The following is a 23,641-nucleotide window of genomic DNA, read 5'->3' as shown; positions in this document are numbered from 1 at the left end:
GGAAGAAGGAAGAAAATCTGCCTTCCCCAGTTTTCAGTCGAGTTCCATCGCTTTGGCAGACACGGCTAGTTTCCAATGCCAAATTCACTCTCCCCATCTTTCATCATCACAGAATCTAGATTTTGTTCAGGGTAGCAATGTGCTCACCTTCTGTGTTGGGGTGACTATGTGATCCACTTCTGGCCAATAACAGGTCATTGGAAGTCTTCCAGTGGGGCTTACCAAAAAGATTTTTTTTTTTTTTTGAGATGGAGTCTCGCTCTGTCGCCCAGGCTGGAGGGCAGTGGCAGCATCTCAGCTCACTGCAACCTCCGCCTCCCCAGTTCAAGGGATTCTCCTGCCTCAGCCTCCCGAGTAGCTGGGACTACACGCACGTGCCACCATGCCAGGCTAATTTTTTGTATTTTTAGTAGAGATGGGGTTTCACCATGTTAGCCAGGATGGTCTTCATCTCCTGACCTCGTGATCCACCCCCTTGGCCTCCCAAAGTGCTGGGATTACAGGCATGAGCCACCGTGCCCAGCCCCAAAAAGATTTTTTAAAGAGAAAGATTGAGTTGGCCTGTGTCTACAGCCCTTCATCTTTGGCACGTTTTCTCCTCCTCTCCCTTCTGTCTGAGCTCATGAGTGATGTCTGGATGTAAGGGAATACATGACAATTTAGGCCCATGATGACACTCACATTGTGATGGTGGAGGAGGAAGGTAAAAGGAACTCAGGTCCTTGATATATCAGGGGAAACCTCTTACTTTTAAAAGCTTACTGCCTTGTTCATTACCACATGCCTGCTACGGTGCTTGATGCAAAGTAGAAACAATAACTATGGAATGAATGAAGGAATGCAAGGGAAAGGAAGGTATGCAGTCCGTAGTAGCACTGAGCATGAGCTTCCTCTAAGGCCAAGTTTCTTCATTCCTTTTAAAGGTTTAAAGGTTCTGTGGATATATAAATATAAATATTAGGATATGAGTATCTACTATTCTCTCATTGGTCATTCATCTGATTTGAAAGCCTAAAACTTTGGTTAAAAATGCAGGTATTATATGGACAGATAAACATGTTATATTAATATTAATGCTCAAATTAGCCTATCTGGTTATCTATTTATAATTTGCTTACCAGTAACTTGGAGGAATAGGGCCAGGACCCGAGACAAATGTTCATGGGGAAAAGGAAGCAAATTGGAGAGAATGGGAAGGGGATGTCAAAATATAGTCTGGAATATGATGAAGCGTTCCTGTAGCAGTATCTGTGTTGGCAATAAACAGTGATGCTTCCTTAGTTCACATAGGACAGCTCTCTAAGAATCTCTGGGTATAACTGTAATCTCCTTTACACTGGAAACATTTGCAATACCAGTACAGCCACCAGAGGAGTGGTATCATTTTTACTAACTGAAATACAATTTTATAACTACATTGAGAACTGCTACAGGACAGGGATTCAGGGCTGTGGCTGAAGTATTGGTAGAAATGGAAATGTTCTTTTTGTTGCAATTGTCAGTCTCAGATCCCATTCATGGGAATAACAGCGAACTGTGAACTGATTGCCTGTAGCCACTTCTCATATTGTTATAGTTAATGCACATAGCAGTAAGTATCCTATCTCAGGCTGCTATAATGAAGTGTTATAGACTGGGTAGCCTGTAAACCACAGAAACTTATATCCCACATTTCGGGAAGCTGGAAGTCAGAGTGTCAGCGTGGTCCGGTTCTGGGGAAAGCCAGCTTCTTCGTCCATAGATGGCTGTCTTCTTGCTGTGTCCTCAGTTGGTGGAAAAGGGGCCAGGGCGCTCCCCAGGCTCTCTATTTTAAGGGCACTAATCCATTCATGAGGGCTCCACCCTTGTGACCTAATCACCTCCCAAAGACCCCATCTTCTAATACCATCATATTAGGTATTAGGTATTAGGGTGATTTCAACATATGAATTTGTGGGGGGCATAAACTTTCAATCCATAACAGTAAGTAAAAGGAAAAAATGTAAAAAAGAATAAAATAGTATCTTCTGAGGGATGTTACTTAGTCATAATAGTTACTTTAAGAGAAGAAAGGACCCGAATTCATTATCAAGGAGTTTATCCTTAGTTCCTAAGAAGAGAAACTGGTGAACTCCTTTAAAACATATGCCACTGAAAATGTAGATAAGTAATAGGAAACAGAATACAAAGAGAAAAGAAACAGGTGCTGAGAGTTTTCTAGTCCTTTGATGCTAAGCCTACATTTTTAAACATTAAATGATATTAAAAATAAATAATATTTTGATCCAATGACTATAAAATACCAATATAGTGAAAAGCAGAAGTTGACAGTTGACACGCTATCACATTACGTGTCTACAAGAGCCAAAGTAAATAAAATATAGATTAATTGGGATTATGATTTTTTGAAAGTACTTCTGTTTAGCTTTAATAAATAAGTCCTGTATTCACATAATGTTTAAAATATTGTTTCTTTTTTATTTATTTATTTTTTAATGAGAGGAATTTCACTAATGTTCTTCATTTCCTGAATAGCTACAGCAGCTATCTCACCATGTCAAACACTGGGGCCCATGACTCAGAAAAGACTTGTGGAAACATAAACGTCTTGTTAACAATTGAAGCACTGTTAGCAGGGAAAGGGGCAGGCTTAGACAAGACAAGCTAGGTAAGGCGTTTATCTTCTCTTTTGGAGGAAAATAAACAATTTGGATTGGTTGGAGAAAAAGATTGAAAATGTATTGAAAGACAAATAAAAAATGTGATAAACACTGGCCCTCTGTACGGAAAGACAAACTTTACATCTTCATAGGAAAAAAATGCAGCTCAAAATCCAGCCCCAGCAAGCCAAGGTAGCTGTCAAAGATTGCAGAGAAGCAAACTCTCAGAAAACACTTTCTTGTGCTTTGTCCCTGATGGTTGAAGGGAGTGAGTAAAAAGCCCTGGAGCCTGGCTAGCAGATGTGTGGCCACACTCTCATCACAAGAAATACAAGAGAAGAAAGAATCTTTCTGAAAGTTGATAGCAAATGATATTTCTATCTTAGCAGCCTAAATATGCATAGTTTATATGGGCTTCAAAGGGGGATCTCTACAGCTAGAGATAATACTGATTGAGGTATTCACGATACGGCAATGGACAGATTGCCTTCATATGCGCTGTACTGTCTGAGGTCCAGTGTGTAAGATTTATCTAGATGGGCACCATATTTTGAAAAGACTAATTCAGGATATGGGAAGCTTAAGATTGCCTTCATTTGCACTGCAATGTCCTAGGTCCAATATAAGATTATCTGGATGAGCACAATATTTTGGAAAGAGTAGTTCAGGAAATATCACCACCTACGAAAGGCATGTATTTTTTAGCAGAAACTGCAGTGAGAGACAGATGATGCATACATTGCAAGCTTCTAATTCTAGCAAAGGGGTACAGGTCCTACCATGGCCACTCTGAGTAGCCACCTCAGACAAGCATGACATGCATAGCCAGCCCCTGGAGGGAGTTTCCCAGATGAAGGAGCTCTGCCTTTGGAAACGTACTGTTTTCTCCACTTCCTTGAACTCTTCCCCAGGTCTATATTGGGCAAAAGGAAGGGGATCCAGGATCTCCATATGGAATGCTAGGCCTCATCTCCACTTGCCTCCCCAGGGATAAACTTTCTCTTCTGTCAGAGGCATGGTACAGAAACTTAAGGAAAATAAGGCAGGGCAGCAGTCCTCGGGGGGAGGGTGGCTGAAGCAGTTTTCACCTCTCTTCATCATCTTCCTCAAGGAGAACCACAAGCAATAAAAAGATTACGTCATCAGGTATTAGATTGGGCATGAATCTTAAACAATAGTACAAAGGACAGCAGAACCATCATAATTATTAGGCTCCTCCATAAGGCACTTCCTGGTTCCTTGAGCCACAGTTGGCCAATCCCTAGTAATTGCCACCTCAGGACTTTATGTCTACTTTTATTGAAACACTTAATGAGTTGAAGTAAAATCATTTATTACATGTCTGTCTCTTTCCTCTTGTGGCCTGTTAAATGTTGGGTCCTTCATGGCACATCGGATGTCTTCTAGATCATTATTTCATCCCTAATCTATCCCCCTTGTCCCCAAACCTACACATGCCTAACATTTGTCTGGCACTTACAAGGCAGTAGTAAAACAGTCATTTGTTGAACAAATAAATTAATGACTTGCAATCTGAGCCAATACATTATTAAAGCAAAGTTTCCTGGCCAGGCGCAGTGGCTCACACCTGTAATCCCTGCACTTTGGGAGGCCAAGGTGGGCAGATCACCTGAGGTTCAAGACCAACCTGGCCAACATGATGAAACCCCGTCTCTCCTAAAAACACAAAAATTAGCCAGGCGCAGTGGTGCTTGCCTGTAATCCCAGCTACTTGGAAGGCTGAGGCAGGAGAATCACTTGAACCCAGGAGCAGAGTTTGCAGTGAGCCCAGATTATGCCATTGCACTCCAGCTTGGGCAACAGAGTGAGACCTGTCTCAAAAAAAGAGAAAAGTTTCCATATAGAAGATCAAGAATGACCTAACACATTTTTGTCCCCGAGAATTGTATCAACTTCAAAGTTAGAAAATAAAGGAACTTGTATTAAAAACATATGGAATATTTGTATATATGTGTGCATTTTCTTCCCAATATATTATTTTGAGTCTAAATATTCCAATAGAATTCTTCTAAACAAAATTCCATATTTCTGTTTGTGAAATAATTTTGTATTGAATACTTCATGCATTAGTCCATTTTCACACTGCTACAAAGATACTACCTGAGATTACATAATTTATAAAGAAAAGAGGTTTAATTGACTCACAGTTCCACATGGCTGGGGAGGCCTCAGGAAGCTTACAATTATGGCAGAAAGAGAAGCAGGTACATCTTACATGGTGGCAGACAAGAAACCATGAAAGGAAGGGGGAAGAGCCTCTCATAAAACCATCAGATCTTGTGAGAACTCACTAGCACGAGAAAAGCATGTGGGAAACTGCACCCATGAGCCAATCACATTCTTCCCTCAACGCGTGAAGATGACAGGTCCCTCCCTCAACACGTGGGGACTACAATTCGAGATGAGATTTGGGTTAGAACACAAAGCCAAACCATATCATTCTGCCCCTGGCTCCTCCCAAATCTTATATCTTTTCACATTTCAAAACCAATCACGCCTTCCCAACAGTCCCCCAAGTCTTAACCCATTTCAGCATTAACTCAAAAGTCCAAGTCCAAAGTCTGATCTGAGATAGGCAAGTCCCTTCCATCTATGAGCCTGTAGAATCAAAAGCAAGTTACTTACTTCCTAGATATAATAGGGGCACAGGCACTGGGTAAATGCACCCGTTCCAAATGGGGGAAACTAACCAAAATGAAAGGGCTACCGGTCCCACTCAAGTCTGAAATCCAGTGGGGAAGTCATTAAATCTTCAAGCTCCGAAATGATCTCCTTTGACTCTATGTCTCACATCCAGGTCATGCTGATGCAAGAGGTGGACTCCCACAGTCTTCGGGAGCTCAGACCCTGTGGCTTTGCAGGGTACACATGGAAGCTGCCAAGGCTCGGGGCTTGCACTTGACCAGCTCAATATACTGCAAAATGAGTATGTAATGGGAAGCCCAAAGTAAGAGCAAATGCCGAATCTCAGATCCAGGATGCAATGAGCGCAGTTAGAGAGCAAACAAAAAACAAGTAAAAATACAACATAAAAGGAAGATCCTCCAACAAGCCCAAACAGGGAAAGAAGGGGGCCCAGGTGGGTTCGCCTCCAGGGAAGTAGGTGCCTGAGTGTTTGTCTGTCACTTGCTTGTAACTTGGGAGAATTGTTTTCAGCGTCCTTCAAAGAAACAGCCACTGCTCACCTCCGCCCTCCCAAAAATAAGGTAGACCCGCACCGCTGGGGACTCGGGCCTAGAGAAACATGTCAGAAAGGTGGTGTTACTCAGAGGAGAAGGCCGAATCTAAGCTCAGGGGAAGGGGCTGGGGAGGAGACTAGGGGACCCTGGGCTCCATGTGCCAGGCCAGGTGGGGGCGATCTGCCTATTCTAGCAGTTTATGGAAAAGTGAACTCATAAACAGGCCACAGACCTCCCTCCTACCAACTCCCTTCTAGGTGGATTTCAGAGTCTGGTGTTCTCATTACTTCCTCTAACCTCCTTTCATTTTAGTTTTAACAACTTTGTCAACACTTTAAAGTCTGTTACAAAGGTTTCCTCTAGAACTGCTGAGGAAGAGGAACAACCGTCTCCCTGCTCCCCACTTGCTGTGGTTTTGGTGCTACTTTGAAAGGCAAAGCAGAGAACGACGGAGGGGAATGATGGAGGGGCTTCCTGATAGCAGCAAGTCACAGCAGAGATTCCAGAAAATTCCAAGCCTGCTATTGAAAAGCAGATGAAAGCTCATGGGTAGAGGTGCCCTGCCCAGGGAGCACATGGGGCTTCTAGAATCAACAGTCCTTGTGCGCAGGAAAGAGAGTCTGCCGTGTCTCCTTCCGCTGGGCAGGCATGTGCCCATCGGGAGGAAAGACAGGGTGGGGCAAGAGGGGAGGGAGAATCCTGCCATTGGAGAGACTTTGATGTCAATCAGCAGTTATTCATCTAGCCTGAGTTACAAATGTTAAATATGGTTCATGTTGCTAGACAAAAAAGTAGCCAAATAAAAATTCAAGTTTCTTGTAATAATATACACTCATTCGGACAAAAATACTTTCTTTTTCATTTGGGGAGATACAGATCTATAAATTATTTTGTTTGAAAAAACCCTATTAGTAAAACAATTATAGATAAAGCACTCACTCTTTGATAAGATGGTTTCAGCATTTAATTTTGAAGCCCCTCAGCAGAGATCAGAACGCCTTCTTTCTTCTAGCTTGTCTAACTCTTATTCACCCCAAGAGAATGCTAATGACTGTATTTTTATATGTCAATTTGCCTCCTCCTGAAGATTGTCTTCTAATCCTCTTTAAAAATTCTCTTGTTCTAATCAACTTCCAGAGGAATTAATTGTCTGAACAGAGGTGTTCTTGTTTTGATTTATACAAATCACTGTGCAATATCAACAAATGCTTGCCTGATGATTTCACTTGCACAAATTTGCCTGGAAATAATGAATACCATCCACCTAAGCTTCCAAAGGCATTGACATGTTCTGTTGTGGCATTGCCACCTGCATTTAATCTTTGTTCTGTTTTAAAGATGAGGGAAATCATTTCTTTCTATGTATCAAATATTTTATGTACTTTAATATTTGAGAGATAGCACATTTACATCGATTTCTTTTCCTTCATTCTGTACACTAAAGTATGTAGTCATTTTGAATATTAAGAAATATAGGCCAGGTGCAGTGGCTCACGCCTGTAATTCTAGCACTTTGGGAGGCCAAGGTGGGTGGATCACCTGAGGTCAGGGGTATGAGACCAGCCTGGCCAACATGGTGAAACTCCGTCTCCACTAAAAATACAAAAAATTAGCCAGGCATGGTTGTGGATGCCTGTAATCCCAGCTACTCGGGAGGCTGCGGCAGGAGAATCGCTTGAACCTGGGAGGTGGAGGTTGCAGTGAGCTGAGATCACGCCACTGCACCCCAGCCTGGGTGACAGAGTGAAACTCAGTCTCAAAAAATATATATATATCCACTATTAAAAAGTAACATTCTTATAAAAAGTAAAATTTCTTATAACTCTATTTTATTACATTCATGTGCTTAGTATTACATAGGCAGGTTTTACCTTAATTTTCGGTTATCACGTTGTTTTGTTCGTGGTGGTCAGCAAATACTTATTAAGTAAGTTCTATCTACAAGTTCTTTCTGGTAATCCTTATAGCAAATAAGAAAAAAATGAGCACATTATTATTATTTCTAAGAAGCTTAAAACATATTTAGGAAAAAATATATCTGGGGTGATACTCATAATAATGAGTATTTGTAAAGTATTTAACAATTCACCAAACTCCACCACATACCTGATCTAATATGATTCTTTGAGATTCCTCTGAACTAGAACAGGTATCACTATCTCCATTTTATAAAGGAGGAAATGAAGACTCAGCAGGTAAAATAACCTGCTCACTTAATGGTAGAGCCCAGATTAGAGCCAGTAATTGCAGTATTAGACTTCAACTACTGTTGTTTCTATTGCACCAAATAACATTTAACTCAGAAAGCACTGAAGGGTGATATGAGAGTGATTCAGACAATTTGCTGTAGTGTTTACCAGGGTGATGTTTCATCTGATGAAAGAGGTAGCATGAAGATGGAGTAAGAATTCGTCCTGTGGAGGCAAGGGCAATAACATTCCAGCAAATAGAATCACATAAGGAAAGGCATGCAGGAGGGAAAGGACAGGGGACAGGACATACTTGGGAAAGACGAGGGGATCAAATTTGGCTGGATTATGCCATATCTTGTGCAAAAGAGGGCTAAAAGGCATTTTGAAATGACAATGCAAAGGGTCTTTGAAATCAGGCAAAAATGTCTTCACTTTACTAAGTTAATAGGGAGCTTCTGGAGATTATTTGGTTGGGAAAATAATAAACTAAGATTCAGACAATAGGAAAATTACTATGACAGTGGTTTATGAATGAGTTTGAAGAAAGAATGATGTAGAAATGAGAGGAATATGGCAAAAGCCCAGGAAAAATAAGAATGAAGACCTGCCTGGAAGTGTTAGTGGGAGAAAGGTAAACACAGGAATGGATAGGAGGATTATTTCCAAAGTAGAAGCAAAAAGACAAAAGGACCACAGGCATAGCACACGGTCAACTGTTGAGAGGGAAACAGGGAGACTCGTTAAAATTTATTCTAAAATTTCAAGCCTGGGTGTGAGGAAATCAATGGCAGCATCAACAGAAATGTGGAAGAGCCTGCTCCACAGATATGTGGAGTAAGAAGTGGTGTGGGTGAGAAGAACGCAATTTCCATTTCGGGGATGGTGAGCTTGAGGTATTGGTAGGGCATTCATATAAATATATAACATAAATACATAATGGATGGAGTTCCACCCCCATGAGAGAATGCATAGTAGCAGACATAAGAGTCAAGGGAGGGAAGAGAAAGAGAGTTAAAAGAAGTTAAAAGACAGGATTTAGGAATTACAGAAATGTGTTGAGCCAGGCAGGAATGAAATGGAGAGATGGTCACTTCACTTGCAGGTGATTAGTCAAAGGAAGGAAGGAATGGTCAAAGAAGTAGAACAAAAGAAGAACCCAGAAGTAGAAGAAAAAGATAAGAGCCATCAGTGCTGCAGAATTCATCCAAAAGAATAACACTCAAAAAGACATGATTGGATTTACGGCTAATAAGTAAGGAAAGAAGTTCCTGTGGCCAGGCGAGGTGGCTCACGCCTGTAAACCCAACACTTTGGGAGGCCGAGGCGGGGGGATCACCTGAGGTCGAGAGTTTAGGACCAGCCTGGCCAACATGGTGAAGCCCCGTCTCTATGAAAATACAAAAATTAGCCAGGCAGGATGGCATCTGCCTGTAATCCCAGCTACTTGGGAGGCTGAGGCAGGAGAATCGCTTGAACCCCGGAGGCAGAGGTTGCAGTGAGTCAAGATAGCATCATTGCACTCCAGCCTGGGTGACAGAGCGAGACTCCTTCTCAAAAAAAAAAAAAAAAAGAAAAGAAAGAAAGAAATTTCTGTTTAAGGATGGGGTTGGCAAACTAATTGTGTGAAACTGGAATGGGAAGGGTTGAATACGCTTTAAAACTTTGGGAAAGATAAGATAGGATAAAGGAGGAGAAAAATAAGGAAAGTAACAAGATAAGGTGGTAGTTTGAGATGGAGGTACAACTAAATGAAGATGCTTTAGAATACATGGGAGAGCTAAGTAGAAAAGACAAAGGAAGGGGATATGATACCCAAGACAGAGGAGGGAAAACCAACGGAGCCAGTGGCTGAGGGCATAATGTAAAGATTCTGGGTGAAAAGAATATAGAAAGAATATATTTAAAGAGAAATTTTGATGGGGAGAGAATTTAAGGGTGCTTGTACAGAATGGCCCAATTTTTATTTTTCCGCTTCTCAACACAATCTTACACTGAATAGAGATTGTAGTATGTCACCACGATCCAATTCTATAGGTAGATTTCACCTACTCCACAGAAGCAGAATAGATTGATTAGGTATTATAAATTATCGCTGAGGATCAGAAATAATTTAAAACTCCTACTTGATACAATGTAATTTCTTCAACAACGAATGAGCAAGCCAAACTGTAGCAGAGCACCCACCTAATAAAGAAAAAAGGAGTTTATTTCTCCTTCAAGTTACAGTCTGAAGTGAGCGTGGTTTGTCAGAGGTCAGTTCTACTCTACACAGTGTTTCGGGGACCCAGGGTGACGACAGCGCCTCCATCTTTAACAATGGTTTTCAGGGTTGCTCTGGACATCATTCATTTGTCCAGGGACAAAAATATCCTCTTAAGGAAGTTAGGCAGAAACAAACACATCCCCTCCATTTATATTTCTTTGGTGTGTCCAAGGGACAAGCAACAAGCTTCATTGCCAGGAGCTAAGAAAACGTAGCCCCTTGCTGCGCAGCCCCTTCCCAACTAAAGTTCTACGTCTAAGGAAGAAGAAGAGAATAGACATTGGTAGTGAACAACAACAACAACAACATCATTGCCACAGTATCTTCAAAAGGAAACTTAATTGTGGCTCGTGCTCTAGAACATTCAAAATTAAATAACAGAAGTGTTTTCACTCTTGAGGAAATCTCCAAGTTGTAAAGAAACAAGCCTGGAGAAGAGAGTGAAATGACAAGTTTATTTCTTACTGGCTGAACTGTAGATAACATTCCCCACTTTGGAAGGACAGATTAAAGCCCAATAGATCATAGATGCTTATTAATTATTTACATAAGTAACACTTACTATCCCTCGCTTGTGCGATCTGAATCTTCTCCGGGTGCAATTAATTAGAAATGAGATCAAAGCTACACACTCCTTTTGATGTCTCACTTATGTAACTTATTTCTGTCAGAAGAAAATAATCACAACGTCATGTGTGATGTGAATATATGCAAGTTCTGTCAAACATGGTTGTTCTGCGTTTTTCAGCTTTTTCTCACAAAGGACATGCCCTGTGATGTGACATCTTGTCTATTCTCACTGCATCCTTTTATGTATACAGACTTGGTGGTCTCTCTGTGTACGTCTTCTAACTTATTTTTACTTCATTGACGTCACGTTTCTGGGCTTCGCATTGTTCACTTATTGTTCCTGGACCCTGAGTCATGTCTTAGGTAAACGGCACAGTAAAGAACATGATAGCACTATTCGCCAATGTGCTTAAATTGTGATCCTAATGATTATTACTTATATTCACGGCCCATAACATGTCTTGGAAAGTTGATAGGAATGAGGTTACACATTTCAAAAAGCTATTTACATAGATTGGAGAACCAGTTATTTCTAATTTAAACAGTTACCAGTTAATAACCTACCCAATGTTCTGAAATGAACCAGTTGCATGTTGTCAACAAAAATGTGCTCTTTTAGTGGATGCATATAAAATTGGTTTTTGGTCTGGCCCTGCCAGAAAATAGATATATCATTTCAGTCAAGTCTCTTACGCTTTCTGGATTCCTGGCATATCCTCACTGGTCAAATGGAAATGGTATCTTCTGAACCTACCTTGTCAAGTCATTAGAAATTTTAAAAATAAAAAATAAAACTACATTAAAAGGCAAAATCAGAAGGATAATTATTTTAATTCCTCAAAATGATTTCAATTTCCTGATAGATCCAGTGGCAAGAATTCACAGAAGAGTTAACAGCAAGAGATCACACCAGTAATCACTAAAAAAATTCTCATGTACTCTAAGGACTAAGAAAATCCTATTAAAGCCATTTTGCCCTTTAAGGCAGAAAAAGACCATCTCAATATTAGTAAGAAGAAAGGTTTAATTGGAAAAAGATAAATTTTCCTAAAACTATTACTAATTTTATTTTGGCCCTTTTTCATTAAAAATCCAATGGGATTTTTATGTCTTCATTAAATCAATTAAGAAAATGGTTTTAAAGTGGGCTTCTAATCTCAGAAGAGAATCTAAGGATAGCATTAGTTGATTGTGTTAGTTAGGTACAGGTTGGGTTGCTGTAAAAAGAAACCCTAAACGCAGTTGTTTAAATAAGACGGAGGTTTATTTCTCACACACATAACAGTCCAGAAGATGGGCATAGTCTACCCTGGCAAGACAGTTGAGCTTGGGAACTCATTCAGAGACTTATGTTTCTTCCATCTCGCTCTACCATTTCTTAGAGCAACAATTCTCAAACTTTTTGGTCTCAGAATTCACACTTTAAAAAACTACTGAGGACTCCACAGAACTTTTGTTTGTATGTGTTATATCTACCAGTATTCATCCAGTCAAAATGAAAACTAAAGCATTTATTTGACTCTTTAAAATACAACATTATACTCAGTTCCTATTTCTGTCATAACTAATTACCACAACCTTGGGAGCTCAAAGCAACACAACATGATTTGCTTAGAGTTCTGGAGGTCAGGTCTCTAAAGCTGAGGCATCAGCAGGGTTGAATTCCTTCTGGAGGCTGCAGAGGAGAGTCGGTTTCCCTGCCTTTCTCAGCTTCCAGAAGCTTCCTGTATTACTTGGATTATGACCTCTTCAATCTTCAAAGCACATTCTTATCCCTCAGTCTCCCGCTCTTTCTTACTTCCCCCTTTTTTTTTTCTTTTTGCTTCTGACATTCCTGTCTCCTTCTTGTAAGGATCATGCTGATTACATTGTGCCTACTTGGATAAACCAGAATATCTTCTCCCTCAAGATCCTTAACTTTATTACATTTACAAAATCCCTCTTGCCATATGAAATAACATATTTACAGTTTCCAGTGATGAGGAAGAGGATGTCCTTGGTGGTGGGGGGGGGGGGGCATTGCTCAGCTTACCACAAACATTAATTAAGCCATTAATGTTAACATGACTAAAACAGATGTTTATGAAAAAAAAACTATATTTTCCAAAGCACAGACTATAGTAAGAGGAGTGACATTGTTTTATATTTTGCAAATGTCTTCCATGACTGGATTAATAAAAGACAGCTGAATTCTCATACTTACTTCTGTATTCAGTCCATCCTGATGTGTTATTGTGGTTAATTATACAAAAAAAATCTATCTTCCTACAGTCACATATCTGTAAAATGGAGAAGCATTTTAGAAGACTTATCAGATAATGTAGATATGCATGGTATTTAATACCACACCAAAACTTAACAAGAGGTAGGTTTTTAAAGGTTGGTTGCAATGTATTATCTGAAACAATATTCATGAACTTCTCACATTCTGTCACAGGAAAATTGGTTTATGTTGCAACTTGAATGTGTCTCTTCCCCATGAATTGCACATACCTTCGGAATTTAGAAAATGTATTACACAATGTTTTAAAAATTCATTAATAGTAACACCAATCGCATCAGAGAAGTCTTTAAATGGAGCATTGGGAAGCTATCAAGCTCATAACAGCAGATACAGGTTTTCCAGTTCTGATTTCCTTTTGATAGAGCTTGAATTCTATCTCTGGCAACAAACACCATCAGTTATTTTCCTTGAAGCAACAGGCTTCCATCGCTCATTTCCAAGGAAATGTCTGCCAAGTCCCCAAGTCTGAATAACCAGGATTTGTCTATCAGTTGTTTTTGCAAGTAAAATGGTGTTACAAAAAAAAAAAAAAAAAAAAGAATGGTTCAGTTCTCAGCTCAAAGAGTTGCACAAGCACTTCTCTTCCAAACAATCCTTATGCTTCATATGCATGACGGTTTTATGCATACTCCTTATATGTTTACACATACTGCTTAAAGCCAGGTACTCAAAGTTCTGGGTTTCATAATATCAATCATTGTTACAGCTTCATCAAGGATATTTCTAAGTGCAACTGGCACTTTTCTTCTGTGGGTGTACAGCAGTGAAGAATTCAGGGACTACTCGGTGTCACTACCTTGACTCAAGGAATCAGCATTGCCAACATCAGCACAAAGGTCAACCCAGTGAAAAAGGCCAACAACTACTTAGTACAATTATTGAAGTGGCTCTGACAATTCAGACCCACTGAAACTGCCCCGGGGTCCCTAGGGATCCAGGGGATGGCAAATTGAGAACTGCTGCCTTAGGGCATTCTCTTTGCCTACCTCATTGAATCAGTGCCACATCCATGATCCAGGTTTCAGGAAGAAATAAGACCAGAATTGGAGGGCAAGCAATTTCTTTTTCTTTTTTTAACATCTTTTTTTTTTTAATTGTACTTTAAGTTTTAGGGTACATGTGCACAACGTGCAGGTTAGTTACATAGGTATACATGTGCCATGTTGGTGTGCTGCACCCAGTAACTCATCATTTAACACTAGGTATATCTCCAAATGCTATCCCTGCCCCCTTCCCCCACCCCACAACAGGCCCCGGTGTGTGATGTTCCCCTTCTTGTGTCCATGTGTTCTCATTGTTCCATTCCCACCTATGAGTGAGAACACGCGGTGTTTGGTTTTTTGTCCTTGCGATAGTTTGCTGAGAATAATGGTTTCCAGCTTCATCCATGTCCCTACAAAGGACATGAACTCATCATTTTTTATGGCTGCATAGTATTCCATGGTGTATATGTGCCACATTTTCTTAATCCAGTCTATCATTGTTAGACATTTGGCTTGGTTCCAAGTCTTTGCTATTGTGAATAGTGCCACAATAAACATACATGTGTATGTGTCTTTATAGCTGCATGATTTATAATCTTTTGGGTATATACCCAGTAATGGGATGGCTGGGTCAAATGGTATTTCTAGTTCTAGATCCCTGAGGAATCGCCACACTGACTTCCACAATGGTTGAACTAGTTTACAGTCCCACCAACAGTGTAAAAGTGTTCCTATTTCTCCACATCCTCTCCAGCACCTGCTGTTTCCTGTTAGAATGGTGATTCTAACTGGTGTGAGATGGTATCTCACTGTGGTTTTGATTTGCATTTCTCTGATGGCCAGTGATGATGAGCATTTTTTCATGTGTCTTTTGGCTGCATAAATGTCTTCTTTTGAATAGTGTCTGTTCATATCCTTCACCCACTTTTTGATGGGGTTGTTTTTTTTTTTTTGTAAATTTGTTGGAGTTCATTGTAGATTCTGGATATTAGCCCTTTGTCAGATGAGTAGATTGCAAAAATTTTCTCCCATTCTGTAGGTTGCCTGTTCACTCTGATGGTAGTTTCTTTTGCTGTGCAGAAGCTCTTTAGTTTAATTAGATCCCATTTGTCAATTTTGGCTTTTGTTGCCATTGCTTTTGGTGTTTTAGACATGAAGTCCTTGTCCATGCCTATGTCCTGACTGATATTGCCTAGGTTTTCTTCTAGGGTTTTTATGGTTTTAGGTCTAACACGTAAGTCTTTAATCCATCTTGAATTAATTTTTGCATAAGGTGTAAGGAAGTGATCCAGTTTCAGCTTTCTACATATGGCTAGCCAGTTTTCCCAGCACCATTTATTAAATAGGGAATCATTTCCCCACTGCTTGTTTTTCTCAGGTTTCTCAAAGATCAGATAGTTGTAGATATGTGGCGTTATTTCTGAGGGCTCTGTTCTGTTCCATTGGTCTATATCTCTGTTTTGGTACCAGTATCATGCTGTTTTGGTTACTGTAGCTTTGTAGTATAGTTTGAAGTCAGGTAGCGTGATGCCTCCAGGTTTGTTCTTTTGGCTTAGGATTGACTTGGCGATGTGGGCTCTTTTTTGGTTCCATATGAACTTTAAAGTAGTTTTTTCCAATTCTGTGAAGAAAGTCATTGGTAGCTTGATGGGGATGGCATTGAATCTATAAATTACCTTGGGCAGTATGGCCATTTTCACGATATTGATTCTTCCTACCCATGAGCACGGAATGTTCTTCCATTTGTTTGTATCCTCTTTTATTTCATTGAGCAGTGGTTTGTAGTTCTCCTTGAAGAGGTCCTTCACGTCCCTTGTAAACTGGATTCCTAGGTATTTTATTCTCTTTGAAGCGATTGTGAATGGGAGTTCACTCATTATTTGGCTCTCTGTTTGTCTGTTATTGGTGTATAAGAATGCTTGTGATTTTTGCACATTGATTTTGTATCCTGAGACTTTGCTGAAGTTGCTTATCAGCTTAAGGAGATTTTGGGCTGAGACGATGGGGTTTTCTAGATATACAATCATGTCATCTGCAAACAGGGACAATTTGACTTCCTCTTTTCCTAATTGAATACCCTTTATTTCCTTCTCCTGCCTGAGAGGGCAAGCAATTTCTTTCCGGACAAGGGATAGAGCAGTTTCGCCCATTACTTCCACTCACATCCCAAGAGTAAGAACACAGTCACGTGATCAAACCTGGCTGGCAGCTGATGGGAAATGTGGCCCCAGTGAGGCCAGGCTGCCCTTTGGCTAAGCTGGATTACTGTAAACAAAGGGGAGAACAAATTTTGAGGGAACAAGAAACATTCTGCAATATTAATCCCATCCAATAGCATCAGCTAAGTTTCTATATAATCACCTTCTTACATATTAATTTTAGCACATGTATAGCTTTCGAAGGACCGTAAGCTGGCTATGTAATTCATTTTAGGAGTCGAGTTCTGCTGAGAAACAGCCATGAAAATGCTGCAAATACGAGATTGCGAGGAGTAACATTCCTGAAGTGGAGGCCCCCTAACGCGGGGACTAGCTCTGCGCAGTGGATCTATGGGGAGTGGGGAGGAGAAAATGAGGGCAGCAGATCATATTTTTCTGTAGACGGAACCAGATTAAAATAAAAATCTGGATAATTTTAAAGAAAAAACAGGCTGGGTGCAGTGGCTCACACCTGTAATCCCAGCACTTTGGGAGGCCAAGGTGGGAGGATCACTTGAGCTCAGGAATTCGAGACCAGCCTGGGCAACATAATGAGACTGCATCTCTGCAAAAATATATGTATACATATATTTTAATTAGCCAGGCATAGTAGCACATGCCTGCTGTCCCAGCTACTGGGAAGGCTGAGGTGGGAGGATCCCTTGAGCCTGGGAGGTTGAGGCTGCAGTGAGCTGTGATTGCACCACTTGCCCTCCAGCATGGGCGACAGAGCGAGACCCTGTATCAAAAGGGAAAAGAAAATCTCAATATATTTCTATCTTATCGTCTCCCTCATTCAAGACAAGAGCCTTCACAGTAGTGGAAGGAGCATGGGCCTTTACACAAGAGAAAGTCAAAGTTTTTTCTCGGGTGCCACATTTGTAAATGGGAATAAATAAGATCCTTTATTTATTCCTGATGAATAAGATCTATCGGATTAAGTGAGATGACCTGCGTGGTGCTGTCACCACAGGCTTCTTAGCAAAAACAACAGCAAAACTCATGCGGATTGCCAGGCCAAGTGATTTTTCTGGTCAGGAACTAAAGCTAAAGTGATTGAATTGTCTCTGGTTTTCTAGTTCTAACACTACCATTTAATGATTCAAGTCTATGTACAATAAAAGTTGGCCTCTCAAATATCCCTAAACCATTAGGTGAACAATAGGAGGCTTCTCAAGGTCACAATTTTCTATACCACAGGGTTGACTACATCCCTGACCTGTGGAATCTTAGGCATTATAGATATGTTTTGTTTTGTTTTGTTTTGAGACAGAGTTTTGCTCTGTTGCCCAGGCTGGAGTGCAAGGGCACAATCTTGGCTCACTGCAACCTCCACCTCCCGGGTTCAAGCAATTCTCCTGCCTCAGCATCCTGAGTAGCTGGGATTACAGGCATGAGCCACCACGATGGCTAATTTTTGTATTTTTAGTCGAGACAGGGTTTCACCATGTTGGTCAGGCTGGTCTCGAACTCCTAACCTTAGGTGATCTGTCCGCCTCGGCCTCCCAAAGTGCTGGGATTACAGACGTGAGCCACCGCACTCCGCCGCATTGTAGATATGTTTTAAGAGCCTCTCCCCATCTAGGTAAATAACTCTAAGATCACATCAGCCAACCCACCCCGCCACCCCTCCCCACAGGGTAGCGGGTAAGAATCAAGGCAGTAGCCGGGTGAGAAAGGACCAGATAAGCTGGAATCCTGCTAGCTGCTCCCTAACAGGATCTGATCTCTGGGATGGTAAATGCGAGTGTTCCCAGTCACTGATTTAGCAAGGGTCTTCCTGCTCTTTCACTGCTGCTGCTAGAGAGTTGTCCTGGGGCAGCATTCCTTAATAGCTCCTCAACCTCCTAGGCAGGCCCTTTGCCTTTTGTTCCTGTCAACAGAGGAAGTATCTACCACCTGTTCAATAATTGCCAAATGCTGGGAGCCTTGGGGACAAAGATGAATTTCTTCTAGATTACGTGGTTAGTCTCTGGATTCATCAGCGAGAGCCTGAGCACTTTGATTATGTAAGAGCAATGGCTTTTCATGAACGTAGGTGCAGAGGTTGAAGGCCATTTCCCATTAGGCTCCTGGCCAATCAGGTTACAGTGCAGGGCATACAGAGAGCGCTGGTGAAGGCCTGTCATTCAGCTGTCTGCAGGGAGGACGGGACACAGGCCGCAAGCAAACCCTAGCACATTACAAGGAAGACAAAAGGCTAACCACACCACGGGGCTGCAAAAAGCAAACATGATTAGCCCAGTTCAGCCCTGACAGTCTCCAAGATGAATAAACAGGCTATGGTGTTCCCTCAATCATGTAGTGATTCATACTAATCATTAATACCAGGAAAAATACTGCTTCTGGTATATTACATTTTTTAAAATATCTGCACCAGCTACATAAAAGGTAGCTCAAAATATGTTCTTTTTCTAAAAGGAAAAGAACTTAAATTTACGAGAGTAGGAAACGGCCCTCTCTCCTGGCTTACATGGGGTGAGATGGAATGGAACATAAACTACATAAAAACACCAACATTTGCAGCTCCTTTTTGCAGCCCCCTCCTCGATCGATGCCTCAGGCACATCTGTCTGCATGATTGGAGATCTGAGGCAGAGCCATGGCCAGATCAGCCACACCCACATTCACTGGCCGCACCCACATTCACCGGCCACATCCGCTTTCAGAAAGTTGGCAGATGCAATGACTACCACTAGCCACTGCTAAGAACCCCTCAGGAATCCAAATGTGCTGGCAACTGGGCACACTCAGGGTTGCTAAAGCCCTAGGCAACAACAGGACATCAAACACGTACAACTTTATCCACTGAGACTTTTCCCCCTTTCTTAAAAACGTCGTAGCATGCCAACAATAACCAAAGGATAGCTTATGATAGTCCACGCCACTTGCACAATAATATCTATTCATTATTCTGTAACTCAGTCACAAACACAAACGGATTGTAAAAGCAAAGTTTATAAGCACAGAAATGGAAAGTTAGAGCACATTAGAAAACATAAATAATTTACAAGTGATTACTGCTTGTAATTTTTTTTCTGCTAAGTTTTGAGGGAGAGCCATTTCATAATAATTACGGACCTCTGCGTTGATGCCTCTTTTTCTAATGGCACCCTTTCTTCCTCTACTTGATTAAGAGAATACATCTAGGCTGTTTTAAAATGCTGCAACCAGGCATGGTGGCTCAAACCCATAATCCCGGCACTTTGGGAAACCGAGACAAGAGGATTGCTTGAACTTAGTTCTAGACCAGGCTGGGCAACATAGTGAGACCCTGTATCTACCAAAAAAAAAAAAAAGTAGCCAGACATGATGGTAGGAGGCTGAGACAGGAGGATCGTTTGAGCCCAGGAGGTCAAGGCTACAATGAGCTATGATCACACCAGTGCTCTCTAGCCTGGGCGACAGAGCAAGACCCTGTCCCAAAACAAAAAACAAAAAAATACTGTGACAAAATGAAAGCCCCTCCCTCTCTGCCTGGGCTGAAAGTTTTTCAGTATTTTTATTTTTACCATTACTTGTTTTAAAAAGAACACTCATTCAGATAATACCCTAAAGATAAGATTCAAAAACAATTCAGAACCTACCAAACATTGATTCGTAACCATTACCTTTGGATATTTTTCTCCCCTAAACAATTATATTCTCTGGAAATGAGAATCTAACAATTCATTTCCATTCTCCTTCTTGCAGGTGTTCATTTTTCTAATTAGGGACCAAAATGCTAATTTTGTTCAGCCCATCAACATCAAATTATCAGTACTCAGAAGCTTATTGTTTACAAATCACACAGAGAGAGTGGGACCATACCTGAAATGGAAATCACATAGTTTGTTTGTTCATTTATTTATTTATAAATTTATAAATTTATATATTTTATTTATTTATTTATTTGAGACACAGTCTCGCTCTGTCGCCCAGGCTGGAGTGCAATGGTGCAATCTCAGCTCACTACAAACTCCAGCTCCCGGGTTCAAGCCATTCTCCTGCCTCAGCCTCCCAAGTAGCTGGGATTACAGGTGCCCGACACCACACCCAGCTAATTTTTGTAATTTTAGTAGAGACAGGGTTTCACCATGTTGGCCAGGCTGGTCTCAAACTCCTGACCCCAAGTGATCCGCCGAACTCGGTCTCCCAAAGTGCTAGGATTACAGGCGTAAGCCATCGCGCCTGGCTGAAATAGCACAGTTTAAATGAAATTTTAATCAAGATTAGTGATTAAGTCAATATGCAATTATTTTGGATTTCAAAACTTTCTTTTCTTTTGAAACACATTATAATCTGTAACTACCCTATGAAAATTTGTGACATAGTTGAAATAGTTAGACCTCTTGCTTCCTATAAGCAGGCTGGGAGTCAAGTTGCTCCATGCTATTATTTTTTATACTTTATTTTCTGGTCTCCCAGACTCTTTATAGGAGGTTCCACAATGTCCAGGTCCATAGACCCTTCTACTGCTACACTCCTACTTGAAACATAGTGAGCACCCAATTAGTGCAGGTCATCACTATTATTAAAATAGTTATTAAGATTAGAACACTAACCCTATTTCATTTCTCCACGACCCAATGCTAGCAAGTTTGCTAAAGTCAAAATGTAGGCTAGCCTCTCAGTGGGTGCTACCAAGATTAGCTCCTTGTACCATATCTTATTCTTGTTAAAGTAGACCTTGTAATATTTATAATGCCCTAAACTTAAACAGTGGGAGTTTCATGTTCACCTGCAAGTAGAAGTTTTGCCTTTGCAAACATTGCGGATGTCAGGGAACAATCCAAAAGGGCAGATGCTAATAATCCACTGTGATCTTCGGGTTCTATGTGACATTTGCTAGCCCTCTGTTTGATGGCATGTCTCCAAGTGTCGCTCAGTCCATAAGAGACAAAATTTACCTCCCTTTCCTTTCCGTGCTCCACAATATATGACTCCTGCTGTTTTATATTCTCTATCTGATGACAAATATTCCCCCAGGATAATACTTGTCTCTCAGGCAGAATACAGCAAACATTTTTAATCTCTTTCTTTGACATACTCTATATACCTCATGAATAATTAAATAATGATTCACAATTGGCCAGTTTTTCTTCATTTTTTTTTTTACTTTGCAGACTTCAAAGGACTTTTGGACAGGTAGAAGGTGAGGCGAGGCTGGTGATAGATATCAACCAAAATTATCACTCAATATGTTTTTGCTAAGGAGAAATTTGTTATTTAGCAATGATGAGTGAAAGCCAAATCTTCACCTTCGAAGTTTGAAAGTTTTTAACAAATCCTTGCTCACTTCAATCCATAATTCTGAATTGCACCTGTATCTGCTCAATCATCTGAGTCAAAGTCTGTGAGCCATCACCTAAATCCATACGCCTCACTAACCAAGGCTGAATTCTCCTACTGAGCAAAGTTGTGCAAGTAGAGACCAGATTAGCCAAGGTCAAAACACATAGCTTTTACAGCAGCAGTACAGTTTTCAAATGCATAAGGAAATTCAGGCAGTTCAGTTTATGATAAAATCTGTAGTTCATGCTCTTCACTAAATACTTTGTTTAATGGGTTAGCTTTTAATAGCAAAAAGCTAAGTGAAAACAATCATTAGAACAAGTCCTCAGCACATCAATTCACTTCTTATTTTAGAAATTAAGGCTGGGCATTATAGCTTATGCCTGTAATCCCAGCACTTTGGGAGGCCTATGCAGATGAATTGCTTGAGCCCAGGAGTTGGCCAGCTTGGGCAACATGGTCAAACTCTATCTCTACAAAAAACACAAAAATTAGCTGGGCATGGTGGCATGTGCCTGTAGTTCCAGCTACTTGGGTGGCTGAGGTGGGAGAATCACTTGAGCCCGGGAGGTCAAGGCTGCAGTGAGCCGTGACTGTACCACTGCACTCCAGCCTGGGTGACAGAGTGAGAACCCAACTCAAAAAAATAAAAAATTTAAAAAGCAAATGTTAAGTGAAGTGCTAAATTGAATCAATTAAGGTGGATACTAAAACAAAGCATACTTCAGAAATGTGTTGCCAATACTTATTTAGTATTAATTATGACATGTTTGGCCTTCAATGGTTCATGCTCATTATTTATTTTATGAGACTTTTAGATCTAATTTAACTTTCCTTGTTTTCTTGCTTTAATCCATTATTCTTAATAAAGGAAGTGTTCAGCTCCCATGAATAGGATTTAATCAACTCTCTGGCAAATCCATGCTGGCCTCAGGCCCCTGGGTCAAACTTTGGTAAGGATCCCTATGAGGACTGACATTGGCATTTGGTTGCCTAGAAACTGTTCTTGGACTCAGGCAAAGACCCAACACATAATCTGGCACCTTCCTAGGCAAGTTTAAGACTGGCACAGGCTTCAGTGCATATCTCTTATGAGTAGACTATTAGTACCATCCCTCTGGGATTGTCATGCAGATTAAATGTCATGCGGATTAAATAAATTCATCCATATAAAGTGCTTAGCACAATGCCTGCTATCTGGAAAGCCTTCAACACTGCTAGCTTTTATTTGGTTAGTGTTGTTGTTATTGCCTCAACCCGTGAACGGACAATTAGAGAAACAAATCTCTATCTCTGTCACTTGCTGAATCTGAGGCCCTGCAAGGCATGGGTATACCCAAGGGGAATGCACTTGAATATGACGTAATATTTTACAATCGGTTTCAGGTGGAGATCTCAAAGAAAGCCTTTTCTTATAACACACAATATATGATTAGTATTATACATAGAATGTATGAATAAAGGTAGCACATATGGAGGTCACTGTGCCAAATTCAGAACAAGCTTTTCTTTACAACCAAGAAAATGTACTTCAGTGCTTGCGTTGTTTTAGTTCTGGATGAGTGTGTGGCCAAAGCTGATAGAAGTTGTCGAGAAGGGAAGATGGGGAGAAAGAAACCAGATGTATAATGTAGGGAAGAAGGAACTCACATCGTTTGCAGTGGTGCCTTTTGGAATGATGATGGGACAAACCTGGGTATGTCACATTCCAGCACCATGCATTCTGCATTTTCAAAAAAACATCAATCCTAAGTTTTCATTCAATTCCATCATCTCCTCAGAACAATTCAGTTCATCCAACCATGCATTCCAACGTTTAGAAAATCTGTATTTAGTCATTTCATTAGTCAGAAGATCCTATTTTCCCACCCCTCCTCCGCTCCATCCCAGTATAAAATGCTTTCTCATACCAGCTTGCTAGTGCTTCACATGCCAGCAACAAACGGAAAAACCCTCCATTTCACAATTCCAACCTCATGCATGATACTTGAGTATCTCAGATCCCCTTTGACTTTAAAATTCAAATTAGGTTACACAC

At 40.7% G+C, this 23,641-nt stretch overlaps 1 annotated feature.

The window, feature by feature from the left end:
• Positions 16,839-17,006: a silencer, noted in NCBI's record as "fragment chr4:187688463-187688630 (GRCh37/hg19 assembly coordinates)". NCBI's record gives its function as "represses an EF-1alpha promoter that drives an FKBP-Casp9 reporter gene in an ReSE screen in phorbol 12-myristate 13-acetate-treated (for megakaryocytic differentiation) K562 erythroleukemia cells {active_cell/tissue: K562(+PMA)}" and the evidence as "EXISTENCE:reporter gene assay evidence [ECO:0000049][PMID:32094911]".

Source organism: Homo sapiens, chromosome 4, assembly GCF_000001405.40.
Source record: "Homo sapiens chromosome 4, GRCh38.p14 Primary Assembly".
NCBI lineage: Eukaryota > Metazoa > Chordata > Mammalia > Primates > Hominidae > Homo > Homo sapiens.
Note: the sequence above shows the minus strand (reverse complement) of the source record. Positions and strands in the feature narration are given on the sequence as shown.